Here is a 20,926-nt window from a genome sequence, read left to right on the forward strand (position 1 = left end):
TTACAGGCATGAGCCACCACACCTGGCCCAATATTTCTTCTAAATTATTGGCTGGAATACTCCTATAGAAAGAAACATTCCCTTCTCCACTATTTGGTTACCCTGAGGTTCAATTTATATGGCAAATGTAGATTCCTTTGCTTTGCTTTCCTGTTTTCAGAATAATGAGTTGGTTCCCCAGTATTATCCAAAGGTGAACAATGGTCTTTATTTTTCTTTTTTGAACATCATTATAAACTTGTGAATTTCCAACAGAATTCATGTGGATTTCAGTCCTTTTTAGTTATTCTTATTCATATTAACATTGTCCCATTTGTGGCCAGTGAGAGCCTTGACAAGTTGACTTCTGAGTCCTGTTGACATGACCCCAGGGATCTCTGACACTTCCCTCACTATCTGGTATATCATGGTGTTTAAGCTTCATCATATGCAATTCCTCCTCTGGACCATCCATTTCTGAAATAAACCCTGGTTCCATTTGGTGGGAAGCATAATTTAGAGACTACAAACCGGTACTAGGGGCATGGACTGCATTTGACTGGTCATTGTTTCTAGGCCTTAATAGTGGTCAGAGATAGGAAACAGATTTAAGATAAGAAAATGTATCATTAGTTTACACTAATATATTTTATTCAAATTTAAAATTACAGAATTTTTACAATTTTAAAAATTTTATATTTGCATCTCTTATGGTGAAGAATCTTGGTTTCTATCAACATTAGCCTAATTACTTATTTGCTCTATCCTATTATATATATAGTGAATAGTATCAGAATAATAATACCAATATTATTACCAGCAATCTGATTACTAAAATCATGGAGTCCTTTTTTTTTTCCTTTTGCCAACCAAACCAGCAGCAGCAGTGAAAGGGAGTTATTTTTGCCTTAGGATAATCTGTTTCTAACGCTTGTTGCAGCCCTGGTTTTACCCACTACTCACACCTCCTACTGGGTTCCCAGCCACCTGCCAGTTCTGGCTCCTCCAACAAGACCCACTTCTCTAGGATCAGGGATTTTCCCTGCTGTCTACTTTTCTCCAACCCTTCTTTGCTCAGCTGAATCCTACTCATCCTGCAGTTTAATACTCAGGTATCATTTCTCGAGGGAAGCCTTTCTGAAGGTAGCACCTCCCCTGTTGTGGTTCTCATTAAACCATTATACAATCACATATTTAATTATCAATTCCCTCACAATATATAGGCTCTTGGAGAAAGGAGGGTGTCTGTCTTTGTTATTGAAAGCCTCAAGCTTTGGTGTGGGGTCATGGTAGGAGCTCAATTTTCTGATACTAATCTCAGGTTCTGATATCTTGGCCAACATCAGAAAAAGCAGTTGAGGAGGATGGGAGGAGGCAAGATGGGAGGAGGAGTGGTGAAGGCAAACAGCTGAGTTTCAAACAGTCAGAGTTTATTGTCTAAAACTTTGAGGGAGAAGCGCCGATGCTGAGTTTTAGGCAATTCACTTTTGTATAGGAAGCATGGTGAAGATAGGCCACCTAATGATTAACAAAATCGTTAGAGTAGCAACAACTTCTAATTGAAAGATGCCATTCCTGAGGTCCAATGACTTGGCCAGGGCCAAGTCATTCATTCATTCATTTGCCCACAGCTGTTTATTGAGCTGTGTTGTATGCCAGGCACTATTTTCAGCAGTGGAGAATAGGGTAGAGAACAAAAGGAAACTCCTAACCTCATGTGGCTTACATTCTAGTGAGAATGACAGGTACCAACTAATAAACAAATAAGGATGAGTCGGTGGACATAAGTAAAATGAAGAAAAATAAAGCATGGCAAGAGGATAGTGAGTGATGAGTAGGGCTATTTGGGTATTGGGATCAGAGAAGACCCCTCTTTGAGGGAAACTTGGTTGAAAAAGAAAGTGAGCCATGCAGATACCTAGGGGAAGGGTGTTCCAGGGTAGCATTAGTCATGTTGACAGAATGTCATTAGAAACCTGAGCCTCTTCCTTCAGCGCTTTAAGTAATTGCTTAGTGCGTAAGTTGTTCAGGAAATGAGAACAAACTTAACAATGCACGTACTCCTGGATAGCAGACATTCTGCTAAAGGATTTTGCAGCAAGGGAATGGTATGTGGCAGCTGCAATACCCACCTCCAGCCCAGCAGGGCCTCTCATGCCCACCTCTTCCCTCCTCCCCCAATCCCAGGATGTGAACAACATGACCCCAGTGCTTCATTTACAATTTGGGACCAGCTAATCCTAGGTGACTCCGGTTCCTGTTGCCCTTGGCCTCCACCCAAAAGGTAAACCCCTCAGGACATGTCTTCTCATCCTCAAACCCACATTGTTTCCAACCTCCTTCCCACTGACCTCATCCCCCACTGCTCCTGGAATTCCCTCCCACCCTCAGGGCCTGCTTAAGGTAGACAACACCCAAACCTCAGCCTTTTCTTTTCTGTTCCCTTACAGGACTCCTCTGTGGCCTTCCTTTGCCACCTTTTTCATGGAAGGCTGCTCATTTTCCCACATCCTGTGGGGACTCAGAAGCGATCAGCATTGTCCTAGCTCCCCTGATACTTTGCTCAACTCTCCTTTGTACAAATGATCTTTGATTCTTATGCCATCTACCTCTTCCTTCTGCTTTTCCTACCAAATCCTGGTTATCCCATAATAGTGACTGAGGAATTGACTCATAATGTTTCTTCCACTCCAACTCTTAACATCACTTGAAATGTCTACACTGGGCTGATGATTCTCTTAAAACTCTTCTGTCACATTTCCTTGGCTTCTTCAAACACAATGACATTCATCTGCTCTCTACTCTGGCCACCCAAAGCAATCAAGTGGCCCAAAGCACAGGCACAGAGACTGGAAAAGAAAATGGAGATGGTAAACAGGAAGTGAAGAGGAGAGGAAAAAAAAAAAAAACAAGATGGAGGAGCCAGGATTTTCTTTGCAGAAAGGGCTAGAAGCTCAAAACTCCATTTTGGGGGTGCGTTTGACATGCATTGTGGATGGTTTCATTTGGTTTAAAATCTTTTTTGATCTGGACAGAAATTAGGGTATTCTGGTTAATAATACATTTTGTTAAAAGTGAACATAACATACATTACTAAATTTACTAAGAAGAGTAAAAAACCTCACTGATACCCCTTAACCATTACTTGCTAAATAATAACATCCTTTGCATTTACAAAGTACTTTCACATATTTTATTTCATTTTAATCTCAAAACAGCCTTGTCCTGATTCCCCCTATGATTCTGCAATGATTTGGCTCATTGTTCAGAAATCTAGATCCCAGTGCCCTGGGTCAAGTGGGGCTGGCTTGAACAAAAGGTACTCTGGAACCCCAGGGGAGGGCCAGTAGGAAAAGAAGGGCAGCCACCATGTATAGAGCTGTGGAGTGGAGGAGATTGCCCAGTTCTCCAAGGTCCAGCTGACTAAAGCACCTGCCCCTAGTCCACTTGGCCTATGCCAGGAGTCAGCAAGCTTTCTTGGAGAGGCAGAAAATAAGACAATACAAAAGAAACAACCATGGCTATGTTCCAGTAAAACTCTATGGACACTGAAATTTGAATTTCATGTTATTTTCACACATGAAATAATACTCTTCTTTTGATTTTTTTCAACCATTTACAAATGTAAAAACCACTTTTAGCTCATGGGCCACATGGCCAACAACCTGGATTTGATACACAGGCCGTAATTTGCTGACCCTCAGTGTGTGCCAGAACAGCCATAAAGGAACCGGGCAGCGGGTCCTCTGTTCATTAGTCCATGAATATTAATATTAACATCAATTAATATTGATAATGCCCATCATTTTGAACATAGTGTAAAATACTATGCAAATGCTTTACATACTTATCATTTAATCTTCATACAATTGAGCAAGTTATTACACCAGCCCTACTTTACAGATGATGAAAACAGGGCTCTGGGAGGATAACCTGCCTGAGGTCGCACAACTAGTAAGGTGAGGAGATCCTTGCCTATCTACAAAGCCCAAGTTCTCAGCCATTATAATGCCTCCCATGCTGGCTCTGCATCATAGGCATACATTTTGGGTTCTCAAATCCTCCTATGCCTGTCTACTTTCCTATCTCTTCCTGCTGTTTGGGTTTTTAGATTCTTACTTTTACCTTCTCCCTGTTCCCCACTTTAAGATTTATCTTCTCCCAAGCTCGACAACTGTTCAGATTAGGCACCTGGAATCATATCTCTTCAACTTTATCTAGGTCCTTGGGTTTGGGTCATCATGACTTGAGCTAGGATAAGGTGCCTTTCTTGGGGCAAACAGGAGCTGCTGGAACCAAAAGGTGGGTTTTGCCCAAAGCCCTTACTGAGTGTCAAAGCCAGGGAAACCCAGATCAATGTGAAGTCTAAAGGATGGGAGAAGGATCCAGAAGGGAGGACATATCAGAAGTCAGGATGTGGACAGAACCGGAATGGAGGGAAAAGGAAGCAAAATTAACTCTGAATGATTTCCCTGGATGGAGCAGATCACACCAAGGCTGTCCTTTAATCATGGTCGGTTCTGAGGGGCCCTGGGTAGATAGGCCTGGCTAGAAGGTATGTGGTCAGAGCAGATATGCTCATCTTGGGGTGTCCCTCCTGTGAGCAGTAATGTTCCTGGGGACCACTTGGCATCTTCAGCTTTGCCCCATTTTTGATTTTAGCCCTAGAGGAGAATACCCCACATGAGTGCAAATGAAACCATCCAAGTACTTTAGAAAACTGGGGCTCAATCCTGCCATGGCTAATCTCTAAGGGACATCTTCAGCAGTGCTGATACTAAGTGGGGCACTGTGGTTCCAGAGAAGTCAGTTCATTTTGAGGCCAGTCCCGAGACAGTAGAGTCCAGTCCTGGGTAGAGAGGGCTACAGAGGTTGTAGAAAGAGCCCAACAGAGAAAATGGAGTACATTAGGAAATACAATCTGAGTGTTCATAAGGACTGAGCAAACAGTGGAGGATAAGGAAGGCCAGGCACCTCTGGGGTCAGCAAGAGGAACTCCAGGTCTTGCCAGCTGGAAAAGATAAAACCCCAAAATGCTGCCAGGCTTGGGAAGCAATGATAACCTCAGGGCAGGACATTCTTTCTTAAATAATGACCCTAAATCACAAGCCTGATGGATAGTATACGATTGATGGATTTAACTACATGAAGCTTAAGAACATCTGTTCATCAAAAGAACCAGGAAGAAGTGAGAGGATAAGCCACAGACTGGGAGGAGATATTTTCAACACATACAACCAACAAAGAATTAGTATCCAGAATATATAAATAATGCCTACAAATCAATCCTATAAACATTTACTCTATAAAAATGGACAAAGCACACAAATGTGCATTTCAGAAGGAAAAAAACATGAACTGGCAAAATCTAAGAAGATTGACAATATCAGAGGATGTGGAGCCTCCCTTTGGTAGGAGTATAGACTTGCTCAACCACTTGGGTAAACAATTTAGTATTATATAATAAAGTTGAAACTGTGAATATCCTATCATTGAGTGAGAATTCTACTCCTCCATATATACCCTAAGCTAGGATTTTTCAATCTCAGCACTATTGACATGTTGGACCAGCTAATCGTTATAGGGGGCTTTCCTGTAGGATATTTAGCAACATCCATAGCCTCTACCTGCCAGATGTCAGTACCAACGCTTCCTACTCCAGTCATAAAAATAAAAAATGTGTAGGACATTTGCTAAATGCCTCTGACATTGCTAAAAATCACACTGGTTGATAATTCTTGCCCTAGGCTCATGTGCAAAGTTCTATGAGAATGTTCAGAGCAGCTGTACAAAATAGCAAAAAGCATAAATATATAGAAAAAAAGGGTTGGAAACATATAGAAAGAGCACAAACATTCACCAAAATAACAGAGAACTAAATTGTAGCAAATAATTGCAATGAAATATTATACAATTCTAAAAATAAATGAACTCCAAAAATATAAGCGACTCATAAATGTTGAGGGAACAAAGTTGTAGAAAAACATATTCAGTATGGATGTTTCTATAAAGCGTAAAACATGCAAAATTAAATAGCATATTGCCTAGGAGTACATACATATGCGTTGTGGTAGATTGCACTTCCCCAAAATGGCTGCAACAACATTTCTGGTCCCATCTCTCTTCCAGAATCTTACCACCCTCCCATCAAGGACAGTGTAGTCAGTATCTCCTCCCCTTGAACCCAGGTGGGACTTTGGGACTGCTTCAATTAATAGACACTATGTGATTTCTGAGGCTAGGTCACAAAAGGCAAGTTTTGCTCTCTTGTCTGGTTTTCTCTCTTGCGATGTTTACCCTTAGAACTCATCCACCATTTTGTGAGGAAGTCCAGGCCTAATGGAGAGGCCAATGTGGAGACAAACCAAGGCCCCAGGGCCTCAACCCAGCATTAACAGCCAGCCAGCAGTGAGTCATCTTAGAAGTGGATCCAACAGCCCTCAGTTGAGCCGCATGGCTGATGCTATATGAAGTGGTGATGAGTTTTCCCTACAGAATCCTGCCCAAATAATGGATCTGTAAAGAAAAAAAAAAAAAAAAAGATTGACACCACTAAATTTTGGGGCATTTTGTTAAGCAACAGATATCCAGAATAGATAGTAAAATCTCTAATGAACAGTAAGGGAATAAACCTAAAATTTAGGATTATGGTTATTGATGAGGTGAGGACAGGGAATGTGATGGAGCAGGATCAAGTGGGGGAACTGCCTGCCCCAGAATGTCCTAATTTGGTGGCAGAGACTACTCAGAAGGTTAAGAGGAGTAAAACCACAGACCTTTCCTACTCCTAAGTGCCAGCAGTGCTGAGGGTGAGCAGTTCCCCCAGCATGAAAGAGCTAAAGAAAAACCCAAGAGCCAAAGGGGAAGAAAGTGTCCTGATTATCTGATAGAGTTGCCTAGTCAGGCCCAGACTGTCCTTTCTGTGCAGGCTGGAGCTTCTCTAGTGGGCTTGATGAAGACTGCGCAGCCAAATGCTCTCCCTAGGCAATGCTCTTGCTTGTTTAATCAACACTTAGAGTTATCTGTTGACATTTTGGAAACAAAATCAAGAGCCTTTGAAAGGACAAAGCGAGCATTGTGACATTAGGAATATTGAGAATTGGTTCTGAACAGTGGATGAACACTGGGCACTTATCTTCCAGAGAGGAGGTCTTTGTGTGCAGACTTAGCTCTAGGCAAGATTGTGGTGTTAGGAAACTTTGACGTTGGTGCTCCCTGTATGAGCTTCCCTTACTCCTGTTGAGAATTCCAAGTTATAAGGATCCAATGTTGGTCAGGCAGTGAAAAGAGCAAATTTAAGGGATTAAGGAGAGTTCTGCTCCACCTTGGGGATCCCCAAAAGGGCCAGCCTGGAAGGGAAGGGCTAGAACTGGGCAGCTGGGCCATTCTGGGAGTTGGGGCATATCATTCATTTCAGTCAGTGGACAGCTGAAGGTGTCCTTCAAACAAGAAACAGCAACCTGATGGTCTCCCCAAATGAGAGAGAGGATTAAAAAAGAAACCCCAAAATGTAGCTTTCTATAGCAAGTACTTTGGAAACACCAAATGAAGGGTAGGCTATTACAATTTTCCATAGTAGAATCTGGGCCTATTTTTTCTAAGGTGGAAAACCTCAAAGTCAAATGCTTGTCAGACATAAAATGTAATGAGTTAAGTGGTAACAGGGAGTGGTGGGGACTGCAGCAAACAGAAGACAGGGTTTTACTAAGGGAACCACCACTACTCAGCTCCAGCTCACTGCTGATAGGAGGAAAGCTTGGCCTAGGTTTATCCAATCTTATGATTGTGAAGAGAAGCCAGAAATTCAAATACGTAAGAATTCACAATTTTTAAAATAATGTGCTAGCTATACCAAACATGTCTGTGAACCATATTTGGATGTATACAAAAAGATCTAGCTATATCACAGGATTGTGAGAAGGATAAAATGAGATGGAATAGAACCAACAATAATTAACTAGTGAATATGCATCATTAATGCTTTTAAGAAAAACCCACAGATATAATACAAAATAGGTCAGGGTCTGGTGACAGGTTGTACTTTCCAAAGATGGCTGCAATAACATTTCCCATCCACATGCTATTTTTATAAGGTAACCATGACACTTTTTCTATCAAATGGTGGAGGTTACTTTTCCTCCCCTGAATCTGAGTGGGACTTTATGAATTCCTGAAACAATAGTATAGTGGAAATTATACGATGTGACTTCCAAAGCTAGTAAGTCATAAAAGTGCCGGCCGGGCGCGGTGGCTCACGCCTGTAATCCCAGCACTTTGGGAGGCCGAGGCGGGCGGATCATGAGGTCAGGAGATCAAGACCATCCTGGCTAACACGGTGAAACCCCGTCTCTACTAAAAATACAAAAAATTAGCCGGGCGTGGTGGCGGGCGCCTGTAGTCCCAGCTACTCGGGAGGCTGAGGCAGGAGAATGGCGTGAACCCGGGAGGCGGAGCTTGCAGTGAGCCGAGATCGCGCCACTGCACTCCCGCCTGGGCGTCAGAGCGAGACTCCGTCTCAAAAAAAAAAAAAAAAAAAAAAAAAAAGTGCCATGCATTTCTGCCTTGCTCCCTGGGAATGCTCATACCTGTAACCCAGCCTCAATACTATGAGGGAGCCCAAGGCCCCTGTGGAGTGCAGAGGACCATGTTGACAGGAACCAAAGCACCCAGCTCACACACTTAGCTGGGCTCTTAGCCAAAAGCTAGCTCTAACTGGCTAGCTATGTGAGTAAACTATCTCGAAAGTGGGTCCTCCAGCTCCCATTTAAGTAGCCCCAGCTGAGACCATGGAGAGCAGAGACAAAGCCATTCCTGCTCAGTCTTGCCTAAATTACAGATTCATAATCAAAATAAATGAATGTCATTGCTTTAAGTCACTAAGCTTAGGAGTGACTTTTTACACAGAAATAGATAAGGGGAACAGGATCAAATGTTGAATTTGTAGCCAGAGACACTCCTGGAAGGCCAAAGAAAGGCCCAAGATCAATTCAGAACCTCCAAAAGCACAGATACCAAAATTTTTAAGTTAAAAGGAAAAGGTGTTTTCCTTCCAGGTTTCCAAGGCTGAGAGAGAACTCACTGAGACAAATAGCAGGGGAAATGGACAATCTGAAGCTTAATTTGAACCTGACATCAGGCTGAGGAAGGAGTGGTAACCCTTCCATAGCTGAGTGTAGCATTGCTCCAAACTCTTTTTAAGTGTGAAGACTAAGCATTTTAGTGGATCATCTGGGCCAATGTTCCTCCAACTGTGATTTTTCACACTGTCCCCTGCAGCTAACTGCCTTAGAATGGGGCCTGGGAAGCTGCATTTTTCAGTCACTTTCCAGATGATTCTTTTGCACCTAAGAATCACTGATTGTTTCTAAGTTTAGAGATCTATACTTCACACATCTTCCATGTAATCCTTTAAGACATTTCTCCTGCAGTTTATTTCTTAAAGAAATGCTCATAGTTTAACATTTAAGCAGTCCGTGTCTTGTCAGGGGAGGGAGCAGGGTTTCAATTCTCAGCTGACAGAGGCCCTGTGTCCCCAATGACTGGATATAGTGGGCTTGGCATTAAGCTTGAAGGAATGGAGGAAAAGGGGCATCTGAGACAGATGGTGGGTGAAAACTTAAGAGGAATAATCATTTAGTTCTGCTCTGATCTTTGTTAATTTCTTTTATTCTGCTGGGTTTGGGTTTGGTTTGTTCTTGTTTCTCTAGTTCCTTAAGGTGTGACATTAGATTGTCTATTTGTGCCCTTTCAAACTTTTTGATGTAGGGATTTAATGCTACGAACTTTCCTCTTAGCACCACTTTTGCTGTTTCCCAAAGGTTTTGATAAGTTGTGTCACTAACATCATTCAGCTCAAAAAATTTTTTAATTTCCGTCTTGATTTCATTGTTAACTCAAAGATCATTCAAGCGCAGATTATTTAATTTTCATGTATCTGCATTGTTTTGAGAGTTCCTTTTGGAGTTTATTTCCAGTTTTATTCCACTGTGGTCTGAGAAGATACTTGATATGATTTCAATTTTCTTAAATTTATTGAGAATTGTTTTGTGGCCTATCATATGGTCTATCTTGGAGAATGTTCCACGTGCTGATGAGAAGAATATATATTCTTCAGTTGTTGGGTAGAATGTTCTGTAAATATCTGTTAAGTCCATTTGTTCTAGGGTGTAGTTTAAATCCATTGTTCCTTTGTTGACGCTCTGTCTTAATGACCTGTCTAGTGCTGTCAGTGGAGTATTGAAGTCCCTCACTATTATTGTGTTGCCATCTATCTCATTTCTTAGGTCTAGTAGTAATTGTTTTATAAATTTGGGAGCTCCAGTGTTAGGTGCATGTATATTTAGGAATGTAATGTCTTCCTGTTGGACTAATCCTTTTATCATTATATAATGTCCTTCTTTGTCTTTTTTTACTTTTGTTGCTTTAAAGTCTGTTTTGTCTGATATAAGAATAGCTACTCCTGCTTGCTTGCTCTTGGTTTCTATTTCTGTGGAATGTCTTTTTCCACCTCTTTATGTGAGTCCTTATGTATTAGGTGAGTCTCTTGAAGTCAGTAGATCCTTGGTTGATGAAGTTTTATCCATTCTGCCATTCTGTATCTTTTAAGTGGAGCTTTTAGAACTTCTCCATTCAACATTAGTATTGAGAAGTGAGGTACTGTTCTATTCATTATGTTATTTAGTGCCTAAATACCCTGTTATTTTTCATTGTGTTATTGTTTTATAGGCCCTGTGAGATTTATGCTTTAAGGAGATTCTATTTTGGTGTATTGTGAGGTTTTGTTCCAAGACTTAGAACTCCTTTTAGCATTTCTTATAGCAGTGGTTTGGTAGTGGCAAATTCTTTCAGCATTTGTTTGTCTGAAAAAAGACTTTATCTTTCCTTCAGGTATGAAGCTTAGTTTTGCTGGATCTAAAATTCTTGGCTGACAATTATTTTGTTTAAGGAGGCTAAAGATTGGACCCCGATCCCATTGGCTTGTAAGGTTTCTGCTGAGAAATCTGCTGTTAATCTGAGATGACTGTGGGGGCTGGAGCCTCTTCTGGCTGGCAGAGATAGACCATTGCCACTCCCTGCTCAAATATTCCTATAACTTCATTTTTTGGGCACTGTTTGGGCATCCTTAATCCATGCCAAGTCACTGCTCAGTCCCAACTACCACCCAGAGTCCCACTGAGTCCTGCTTTCCTTTCAGTAGTAGAAGGAATTTAGGCTACAAGAACTTAGGCTAAAAGTTAGAGAATGTGTGATTTTAGTAAAAATAATACCAGCAAATGTTAAAATATTCCCTCCCTTCCTCCCTCCCTTCCTTTATTTTTTCTTCCTCTATCTTTCTCTCTTTTTTGAGAAATGATCTGTCACTCAGGCTAGAGTGGAGTGGTGCGATCCTAGCTCACTATAACCTCTTACTCCTGGGCTCAAGCAATTCTCCTGTCTCAGCCTCCCAAGTAGCTGGAACTACTAAAATTTAGCACCCAGCTAATTAAAAAAATATGTAAAATTGTTGGCCAGGCTGGTCTCTAACGTGTGGCTTCAAGCAATCCTCCCTCCTCAGCCTCCCAAAGTGTTGGGATTACAGGCACAAGCCACTACACCCAACCTATTAAAATACTGTCTTTTGGTGTGAGAGGAAATGCTCACCAGCAAAGAAAGACACTGAATCTAACATGTAAAGACCTATTATATGTAGGGTTCTTTGCTAAGCCCTCCCTATGGGGGAAAGCAATGGCCCTTTGTAGGAGCTAAAAACCTTAAAAATGTTATAGTCAAGTTGCAAGAATATGTATGTAGTAACATTCCACATCCACAAAAATTGTATGCACAGATACGTATTAGTATATTTATTAGATAATCTGGAAGAACAAACACCAAACTAATCACTGTGGCTGTAACTTGGGGTGGGGTGGGAAGACCAAATAATAAGAAATTTGAAGAGAACAGGTCTCATTTGTTTAGAATGATAGGGCATACAGGATCAAATCAGAATTCTGAAATGTCCTTACGCTATTGTTCACCCCTACATGAAGTGCCATCATCTGGTTTTCCAGTGAAGATGCAGAGGCTCCTATTTTTCCTTCTGGAATGCCAAAGCCCCTTGTTTTATGCTAATGTATCCTCATTAGCATAGGGAGAAACAAGATCAGGATTGCAATTAGGATTATTTCCTTAGGAGAGATTCTTTAGAGGCAATGATCCATTGCACAGTCAGTCATACTGGTGAGGGACCTTGAGGAGTCAGGTGGAAGAATATCCAGCTTGATGTCCTTTTGTAAGCCTTGGGACTTTAGGGCTAAACAAAAGTTAATGGGAAGCCCTTCCCCATTTGGTCAGAAGTAGAGGAGGGAGTGTGTGGGACAAAATGGGCCATAGAAGACTGCCTTTACTTACATTCTATGGCTATTAGTTCAAATTGATGAACTAACATAATTTTAGCTGGAATTCTGTTCTTTCTATGAAATTTGCAATTTCTGCAGCATTTATAACATTTGTAACAGAAATATTAGAAAAATAATAAACAATACAGTGAACAACCGAGAGGTTCATTTGGCTAAAGACAATGAAGAAAAGAAATAACATATTATAGAAAAAAACCCTGAACATACATTTTGATAGTTTGTGCTTAATAGAATAATCATCCCTCTCCCTTTGCTTATATATGTACTTTTTTATATATGTGAGTTGATTTATCCAGAACTGTAATTAACTGATGATTTATAATATCTAATTGCTTAACTTACCATTCATTTTCTGCTGGGAGTACAACTTGAAGAGGGTTGAGTTCCAATTCCCAAAAATATTTGATTATCAGTGTCCTCATTATTATATGGGTTATTCTGTCCTAAAGGTAGCTTTCCTATGAATCCAGTAGTGCACTAAATGGCAGTATAATTTAAATCAAATACTGTCTGCTTTCATGTAAGATCTAAAACACTTATAGTCTTTTTTTTTTTTTGTATTCATTTTTTTTTTTTCTTAATTTTTTTTTTTTTAATTATACTTTAAGTTTTAGGGTACATGTGCACATTGTGCAGGTTAGTTACATATGTATACATGTGCCATGCTGGTGTGCTGCACCCACTAACGTGTCATCTAGCATTAGGTATATCTCCCAATGCTATCCCTCCCCCCTCCCCCGACCCCACCACAGTCCCCAGAGTGTGATATTCCCCTTCCTGTGTCCATGTGATCTCATTGTTCAATTCCCACCTATGAGTGAGAATATGCGGTGTTTGGTTTTTTGTTCTTGCGATAGTTTACTGAGAATGATGGTTTCCAATTTCATCCATGTCCCTACAAAGGACATGAACTCATCATTTTTTATGGCTGCATAGTATTCCATGGTGTACATGTGCCACATTTTCTTAATCCAGTCTATCATTGTTGGACATTTGGGTTTGTTCCAAGTCTTTGTTATTGTGAATAATGCCGCAATAAACATACGTGTGCATGTGTCTTTATAGCAGCATGATTTATAGTCATTTGGGTATATACCCAGTATTGGGATGGCTGGGTCAAATGGTATTTCTAGTTCTAGATCCCTGAGGAATCGCCACACTGACTTCCACAATGGTTGAACTAGTTTACAGTCCCACCAAGTGTAAAAGTGTTCCTATTTCTCCACATCCTCTCCAGCACCTGTTGTTTCCTGACTTTTTAATGATTGCCATTCTAACTGGTGTGAGATGATATCTCATAGTGGTTTTGATTTGCATTTCTCTGATGGCCAGTGATGATGAGCATTTTTTCATGTGTTTTTTGGCTGCATAAATGTCTTCTTTTGAGAAGTGTCTGTTCATGTCCTTCGCCCACTTTTTGATGGGGTTGTTTGTTTTTTTCTTGTAAATTTGTTTGAGTTCATTGTAGATTCTGGATATTAGCCCTTTGTCAGATGAGTAGGTTGCGAAAATTTTCTCCCATGTTGTAGGTTGCCTGTTCACTCTGATGGTAGTTTCTTTTGCTGTGCAGAAGCTCTTTAGTTTAATTAGATCCCATTTGTCAATTTTGGCTTTTGTTGCCATTGCTTTTGGTGTTTTGGACATGAAGTCCTTGCCCACGCCTATGTCCTGAATGGTAATGCCTAGGTTTTCTTCTAGGGTTTTTATGGTTTTAGGTCTAACGTTTAAATCTTTAATCCATCTTGAATTGATTTTTGTATAAGGTGTAAGGAAGGGATCCAGTTTCAGCTTTCTACATATGGCTAGCCAGTTTTCCCAGCACCATTTATTAAATAGGGAATCCTTTCCCCATTGCTTGTTTTTCTCAGGTTTGTCAAAGATCAGATAGTTGTAGATATGTGGGATTATTTCTGAGGGCTCTGTTCTGTTCCATTGATCTATATCTCTGTTTTGGTACCAGTACCATGCTGTTTTGGTTACTGTAGCCTTGTAGTATAGTTTGAAGTCAGGTAGTGTGATGCCTCCAGCTTTGTTCTTTTGGCTTAGGATTGACTTGGCGATGCGGGCTCTTTTTTGGTTCCATATGAACTTTAAAGTAGTTTTTTCCAATTCTGTGAAGAAAGTCATTGGTAGCTTGATGGGGATGGCATTGAATCTGTAAATTACCTTGGGCAGTATGGCCATTTTCACGATATTGATTCTTCCTACCCATGAGCATGGAATGTTCTTCCATTTGTTTGTGTCCTCTTTTATTTCCTTGAGCAGTGGTTTGTAGTTCTCCTTGAAGAGGTCCTTCACATCCCTTGTAAGTTGGATTCCTAGGTATTTTATTCTCTTTGAAGCAATTGTGAATGGGAGTTCACTCATGATTTGGCTCTCTGTTTGTCTGTTGTTGGTGTATAAGAATGCTTGTGATTTTTGTACATTGATTTTGTATCCTGAGACTTTGCTGAAGTTGCTTATCAGCTTAAGGAGATTTTGGGGTGAGACGATGGGGTTTTCTAGATAAACAATCATGTCGTCTGCAAACAGGGACAATTTGACTTCCTCTTTTCCTAATTGAATACCCTTTATTTCCTTCTCCTGCCTGATTGCCCTGGCCAGAACTTCCAACACTATGTTGAATAGGAGTGGTGAGAGAGGGCATCCCTGTCTTGTGCCAGTTTTCAAAGGGAATGCTTCCAGTTTTTGCCCATTCAGTATGATATTGGCTGTGGGTTTGTCATAGATAGCTCTTATTATTTTGAAATACATCCCATCAATACCTAATTTATTGAGAGTTTTTAGCATGAAGGGTTGTTGAATTTTGTCAAAGGCTTTTTCTGCATCTATTGAGATAATCATGTGGTTTTTGTCTTTGGCTCTGTTTATATGCTGGATTACATTTATTGATTTGCGTATATTGAACCAGCCTTGCATCCCAGGGATGAAGCCCACTTGATCATGGTGGATAAGCTTTTTGATGTGCTGCTGGATTCGGTTTGCCAGTATTTTATTGAGGATTTTTGCATCAATGTTCATCAAGGATATTGGTCTAAAATTCTCTTTTTTGGTTGTGTCTCTGCCCGGCTTTGGTATCAGAATGATGCTGGCCTCATAAAATGAGTTAGGGAGGATTCCCTCTTTTTCTATTGATTGGAATAGTTTCAGAAGGAATGGTACCAGTTCCTCCTTGCACCTCTGGTAGAATTCGGCTGTGAATCCATCTGGTCCTGGACTCTTTTTGGTTGGTAAACTATTGATTATTGCCACAATTTCAGAGCCGGTTATTGGTCTATTCAGAGATTCAACTTCTTCCTGGTTTAGTCTTGGGAGAGTGTATGTGTCGAGGAATGTATCCATTTCTTCTAGATTTTCTAGTTTATTTGCATAGAGGTGTTTGTAGTATTCTCTGATGGTAGTTTGTATTTCTGTGGGATCGGTGGTGATATCCCCTTTATCATTTTTTATTGTGTCTATTTGATTCTTCTCTCTTTTTTTCTTTATTAGTCTTGCTAGCGGTCTATCAATTTTGTTGATCCTTTCAAAAAACCAGCTCCTGGATTCATTGATTTTTTGAAGGGTTTTTTGTGTCTCTATTTCCTTCAGTTCTGCTCTGATTTCAGTTATTTCTTGCCTTCTGCTAGCTTTTGAATGTGTTTGCTCTTGCTTTTCTAGTTCTTTTAATTGTGATGTTAGGGTGTCAATTTTGGATCTTTCCTGCTTTCTCTTGTAGGCATTTAGTGCTATAAATTTCCCTCTACACACTGCTTTGAATGCATCCCAGAGATTCTGGTATGTGGTGTCTTTGTTCTCGTTGGTTTCAAAGAACATCTTTATTTCTGCCTTCATTTCGTTATGTACCCAGTAGTCATTCAGGAGCAGGTTGTTCAGTTTCCATGTAGTTGAGCGGCTTTGAGTGAGATTCTTAATCCTGAGTTCTAGTTTGATTGCACTGTGGTCTGAGAGATAGTTTGTTATAATTTCTGTTCTTTTACATTTGCTGAGGAGAGCTTTACTTCCAACTATGTGGTCAATTTTGGAATAGGTGTGGTGTGGTGCTGAAAAAAATGTATATTCTGTTGATTTGGGGTGGAGAGTTCTGTAGATGTCTATTAGGTCCGCTTGGTGCAGAGCTGAGTTCATTTCCTGGGTATCCTTGTTGACTTTCTGTCTCGTTGATCTGTCTAATGTTGACAGTGGGGTGTTAAAGTCTCCCATTATTAATGTGTGGGAGTTTAAGTCTCTTTGTAGGTCACTCAGGACTTGCTTTATGAATCTGGGTGCTCCTGTATTGGGTGCATAAATATTTAGGATAGTTAGCTCCTCTTGTTGAATTGATCCCTTTACCATTATGTAATGGCCTTCTTTGTCTCTTTTGATCTTTGTTGGTTTAAAGTCTGTTTTATCAGAGACTAGGATTGCAACCCCTGCCTTTTTTTGTTTTCCATTGGCTTGGTAAATCTTCCTCCATCCTTTTATTTTGAGCCTATGTGTGTCTCTGCACGTGAGATGGGTTTCCTGAATACAGCACACTGATGGGTCTTGACTCTTTATCCAACTTGCCAGTCTGTGTCTTTTAATTGCAGAATTTAGTCCATTTATATTTAAAGTTAATATTGTTATGTGTGAATTTGATCCTGTCATTATGATGTTAGCTGGTGATTTTGCTCGTTAGTTGATGCAGTTTCTTCCTAGTCTTGATGGTCTTTACATTTTGGCATGATTTTGCAGCGGCTGGTACCGGTTGTTCCTTTCCATGTTTAGCGCTTCCTTCAGGAGCTCTTTTAGGGCAGGCCTGGTGGTGACAAAATCTCTCAGCATTTGCTTGTCTATAAAGTATTTTATTTCTCCTTCACTTATGAAGCTTAGTTTGGCTGGATATGAAATTCTGGGTTGAAAATTCTTTCCTTTAAGAATGTTGAATATTGGCCCCCACTCTCTTCTGGCTTGTAGGGTTTCTGCCGAGAGATCCGCTGTTAGTCTGATGGGCTTTCCTTTGAGGGTAACCCGACCTTTCTCTCTGGCTGCCCTTAACATTTTTTCCTTCATTTCAACTTTGGTGAATCTGACAATTATGTGTCTTGGAGTTGCTCTTCTCGAGGAGTACCTTTGTGGCGTTCTCTGTATTTCCTGAATCTGAACGTTGGCCTGCCTTGCTAGATTGGGGAAGTTCTCCTGGATAATATCCTGCAGAGTGTTTTCCAACTTGGTTCCATTCTCCACATCACTTTCAGGTACACCAATCAGACGTAGATTTGGTCTTTTCACATAGTCCCATATTTCTTGGAGGCTTTGCTCATTTCTTTTTATTCTTTTTTCTCTAAACTTCCCTTCTCGCTTCATTTGATTCATTTCATCTTCCATTGCTGATACCCTTTCTTCCAGTTGATCACATCGGCTCCTGAGGCTTCTGCATTCTTCACGTAGTTCTCGAGCCTTGGTTTTCAGCTCCATCAGCTCCTTTAAGCACTTCTCTGTATTGGTTATTCTAGTTATACATTCTTCTAAATTTTTTTCAAAGTTTTCAACTTCTTTGCCTTTGGTTTGAATGTCCTCCCGTAGCTCAGAGTAATTTGATCGTCTGAAGCCTTCTTCTCTCAGCTCGTCAAAATCATTCTCCATCCAGCTTTGTTCCGTTGCTGGTGAGGAACTGCGTTCCTTTGGAGGAGGAGAGGCGCTCTGCTTTTTAGAGTTTCCAGTTTTTCTGTTCTGTTTTTTCCCCATCTTTGTGGTTTTATCTACTTTTGGTCTTTGATGATGGTGATGTACAGATGGGTTTTCGGTGTAGATGTCCTTTCTGGTTGTTAGTTTTCCTTCTAACAGACAGGACCCTCAGCTGCAGGTCTGTTGGAATACCCTGCCGTGTGAGGTGTCAGTGTGCCCCTGCTGGGGGGTGCCTCCCAGTTAGGCTGCTCGGGGGTCAGGGGTCAGGGACCCACTTGAGGAGGCAGTCTGCCCGTTCTCAGATCTCCAGCTGCGTGCTGGGAGAACCACTGCTCTCTTCAAAGCTGTCAGACAGGGACACTTAAGTCTGCAGAGGTTACTGCTGTCTTTTTGTTTGTCTGTGCCCTGCCCCCAGAGGTGGAGCCTACAGAGGCAGGCAGGCCTCCTTGAGCTATGGTGGGCTCCACCCAGTTCGAGCTTCCTGGCTGCTTTGTTTACCTAAGCAAGCCTGGGCAATGGCGGGCGCCCCTCCCCCAGCCTCGTTGCCGCCTTGCAGTTTGATCTCAGACTGCTGTGCTAGCAATCAGCGAGATTCCGTGGGTGTAGGACCCTCTGAGCCAGGTGTGGGATATAGTCTCGTGGTGCGCCGTTTTTTAAGCCGGTCTGAAAAGCGCAATATTCGGGTGGGAGTGACCTGATTTTCCAGGTGCGTCCGTCACCCCTTTCTTTGACTCGGAAAGGGAACTCCCTGACCCCTTGCGCTTCCCAGGTGAGGCAATGCCTCCCCCTGCTTCGGCTCGCGCACGGTGCGCGCACACACTGGCCTGCGCCCACTGTCTGGCACTCCCTAGTGAGATGAACCCGGTACCTCAGATGGAAATGCAGAAATCACCTGTCTTCTGCGTCGCTCACGCTGGGAGCTGTAGACTGGAGCTGTTCCTATTCGGCCATCTTGGCTCCTCCCCAACACTTATAGTCTTATTTGTCTTCGCTTCCAAACAAAAATATCCATTTCCTATATATTATTTTGAATAGGGGTAAAAATTAGGAACCATGTTTCCATGATTTCAGGATTCCAGATGTTCTGGGGACAGAACAATTCTTCCTGAATTTGTTTGCAATCTAAAACTGAAATTGGATTCCAAATATTATTATTTAGTATGGTTCCATCAACTGCCTGTTGGGAGAACACGGGTATTATTAAAAATGATCCCAATTTCCACTAGCTATACTGCATTATATTTCTGGTTACTGTATATGTGGGTTGCTGAAGCCCTAAGAGTACAGGCTGTGTACCCTGGTAGCAATTTTCCAGGAAGAAGAGGGCCCATATGTTTTCCATAAATGTATACCTTGTGCTTCTGCATCCAAAACGACTGGCCACGTTTTAGAGGCCACTTCTGCTTCCATTTGGATTAGCATGGTCAATAACCTTGTTGAATTTGAACCCATGCTTTTTCTGATTGTTGGGCTTTGGCATAGTCCCTCGTTAGCCAGGCAGTTTGATTCACCCATTTAGCAATAGCATCATTATCTTTCCATGCAGCTTCTCAACCCTCACTTTCCTTCTGAAAGAGTATGCTTTTTATTCTACTTAGGTTGGTAAGTATCAACTTTTCTTGTAAATGTCTTTCTTCATTAAATACATTCTCAACTTGTCTTAATGTCCCAAGTCCTGCCTCTATTGCATTTAAGGCTCTTTTTACAATTTAGTTTGTTTGGAAAAGAAGTTTAGTTAAGCTTTGTTAATAATGGAGTATATCTCCTTTCAGTAAAGTTGGTTCATATAAACTGCCATTTACTTTCATAGGTCAACCTGTAATTATCTCATGGGATAATTGACATATTATTCCAGAAGGAGCTGCTCTTAGGTTAAGCAAAACCAGTGGAAGAGCCTGGGGCCAAGTAATAGGAAAAGCTTTCGATAATTTTCTAGCTGGGTTTTATTTTTGATATATTCATTCTACCAATCAGAAGACTGGGCATGGTATGTACAATAAAAATATTGGAAAATAGGCCAGATTATACAAATTAAGTGAATTATCTGTTCAGTGAAATGAGTTCCCTATTTCTATGTAATTTGGAAAGAATTCCTCAAAAGGAAATTATCCATTCCAACAAACATTTTCCTACTGTCTCAAGGAAATTCTTCAACCCAATGAGAGAACATATAAATCATAACCAATACATATTTATAACCCTGAGCTGGAGGTAAGTGGATAAAATCCATTTGTCAAATATTGAAAGGGCCGGTGGGCAAAGGTAAATGCCCTTGAGATCTAGAAGAGGCTTTCCTGGATTATATATAGGACAAATTGGACATTTAGCACAAACCTTATGAACTACTGTGGGTGAGGGTTTCCAGTAATAGTGTTTTCCCCAGGCAAATATTTTCTCAAGTCCCCAGTGAATGAGTTCATGGACATGCTGTAATATAGGAAATTGATATCCCAAAGGCAAAATAGGGATGTGCTTTCCTGTCACTGGGTCTATATTATATTTTGCAAGTTGGGGGAAAAGCATTCTCCCTTAGTCATATTTGCTTTTTCCGCTTTGGAGCCTTTTCTTGAGCCCCTTCACTTTAAACATGGCCATCTCTACAGTTTCATTTGATATTAGCATTAAGCTAATTTTTATTTTTATTTTTTTTGCTCAGCATCAGCAAAATTATCTCCTTCACTCCAGGGAGTCATGTTTGGAATGTCCAAGACTCTTAACAATAGCCAATTTTTTTTGGTAACTGGATGGCTTCCAGAAGATCAGAAACTTGAGAGCCATGTTTAATAGGATGTCCAGAGGAGGTTAAATAACCTCGCTGTTTCCATAACATTCCAAAGACATGAGCTGCACCAAAAGTGTAATGGCTGTCAGTATAAATATTAGTTATTTGATTTTTGGCCAGTTAG

The 20,926-nt window shown here is 40.9% G+C and overlaps 1 protein-coding gene across 24 annotated transcripts in view, besides 1 other annotated feature; it reads right to left on the reverse strand.

Annotated features, from left to right (window-relative positions):
- Nucleotides 1-20,926, reverse strand: part of BCAR3 (BCAR3 adaptor protein, NSP family member) — a 286,411-nt gene that overhangs the window by 215,956 nt on the left and 49,529 nt on the right. For 6 of the 24 annotated variants that reach the window (NR_178002.1, NR_178005.1, NR_178014.1 and 3 more), the window contains one exon: nucleotides 609-6,495. The exons of 14 other annotated variants lie outside the window; for them this stretch is intronic. Coding sequence is in view for 1 of the 10 variants with exons in the window: in NM_001412055.1 (NP_001398984.1) it covers nucleotides 6,277-6,289 (13 nt within the window). In the remaining 9 variants the exon portion in view is untranslated. Of the gene's footprint in view, nucleotides 1-608; nucleotides 6,496-20,926 lie in introns of those variants that run through there. 4 more of the 24 variants (NR_178010.1, NM_001412055.1, NR_178018.1 and 1 more) reach the window with 2 other exon arrangements.
- Nucleotides 18,172-18,760: an enhancer, noted in NCBI's record as "H3K27ac-H3K4me1 hESC enhancer chr1:94261424-94262012 (GRCh37/hg19 assembly coordinates)". NCBI's record gives its function as "activates a minimal SCP1, AML or CMV promoter by ChIP-STARR-seq in primed H9 embryonic stem cells {active_cell/tissue: H9 hESC(primed)}" and the evidence as "EXISTENCE:reporter gene assay evidence [ECO:0000049][PMID:30033119]".

This window comes from Homo sapiens, chromosome 1 (assembly GCF_000001405.40).
Source record: "Homo sapiens chromosome 1, GRCh38.p14 Primary Assembly".
NCBI lineage: Eukaryota > Metazoa > Chordata > Mammalia > Primates > Hominidae > Homo > Homo sapiens.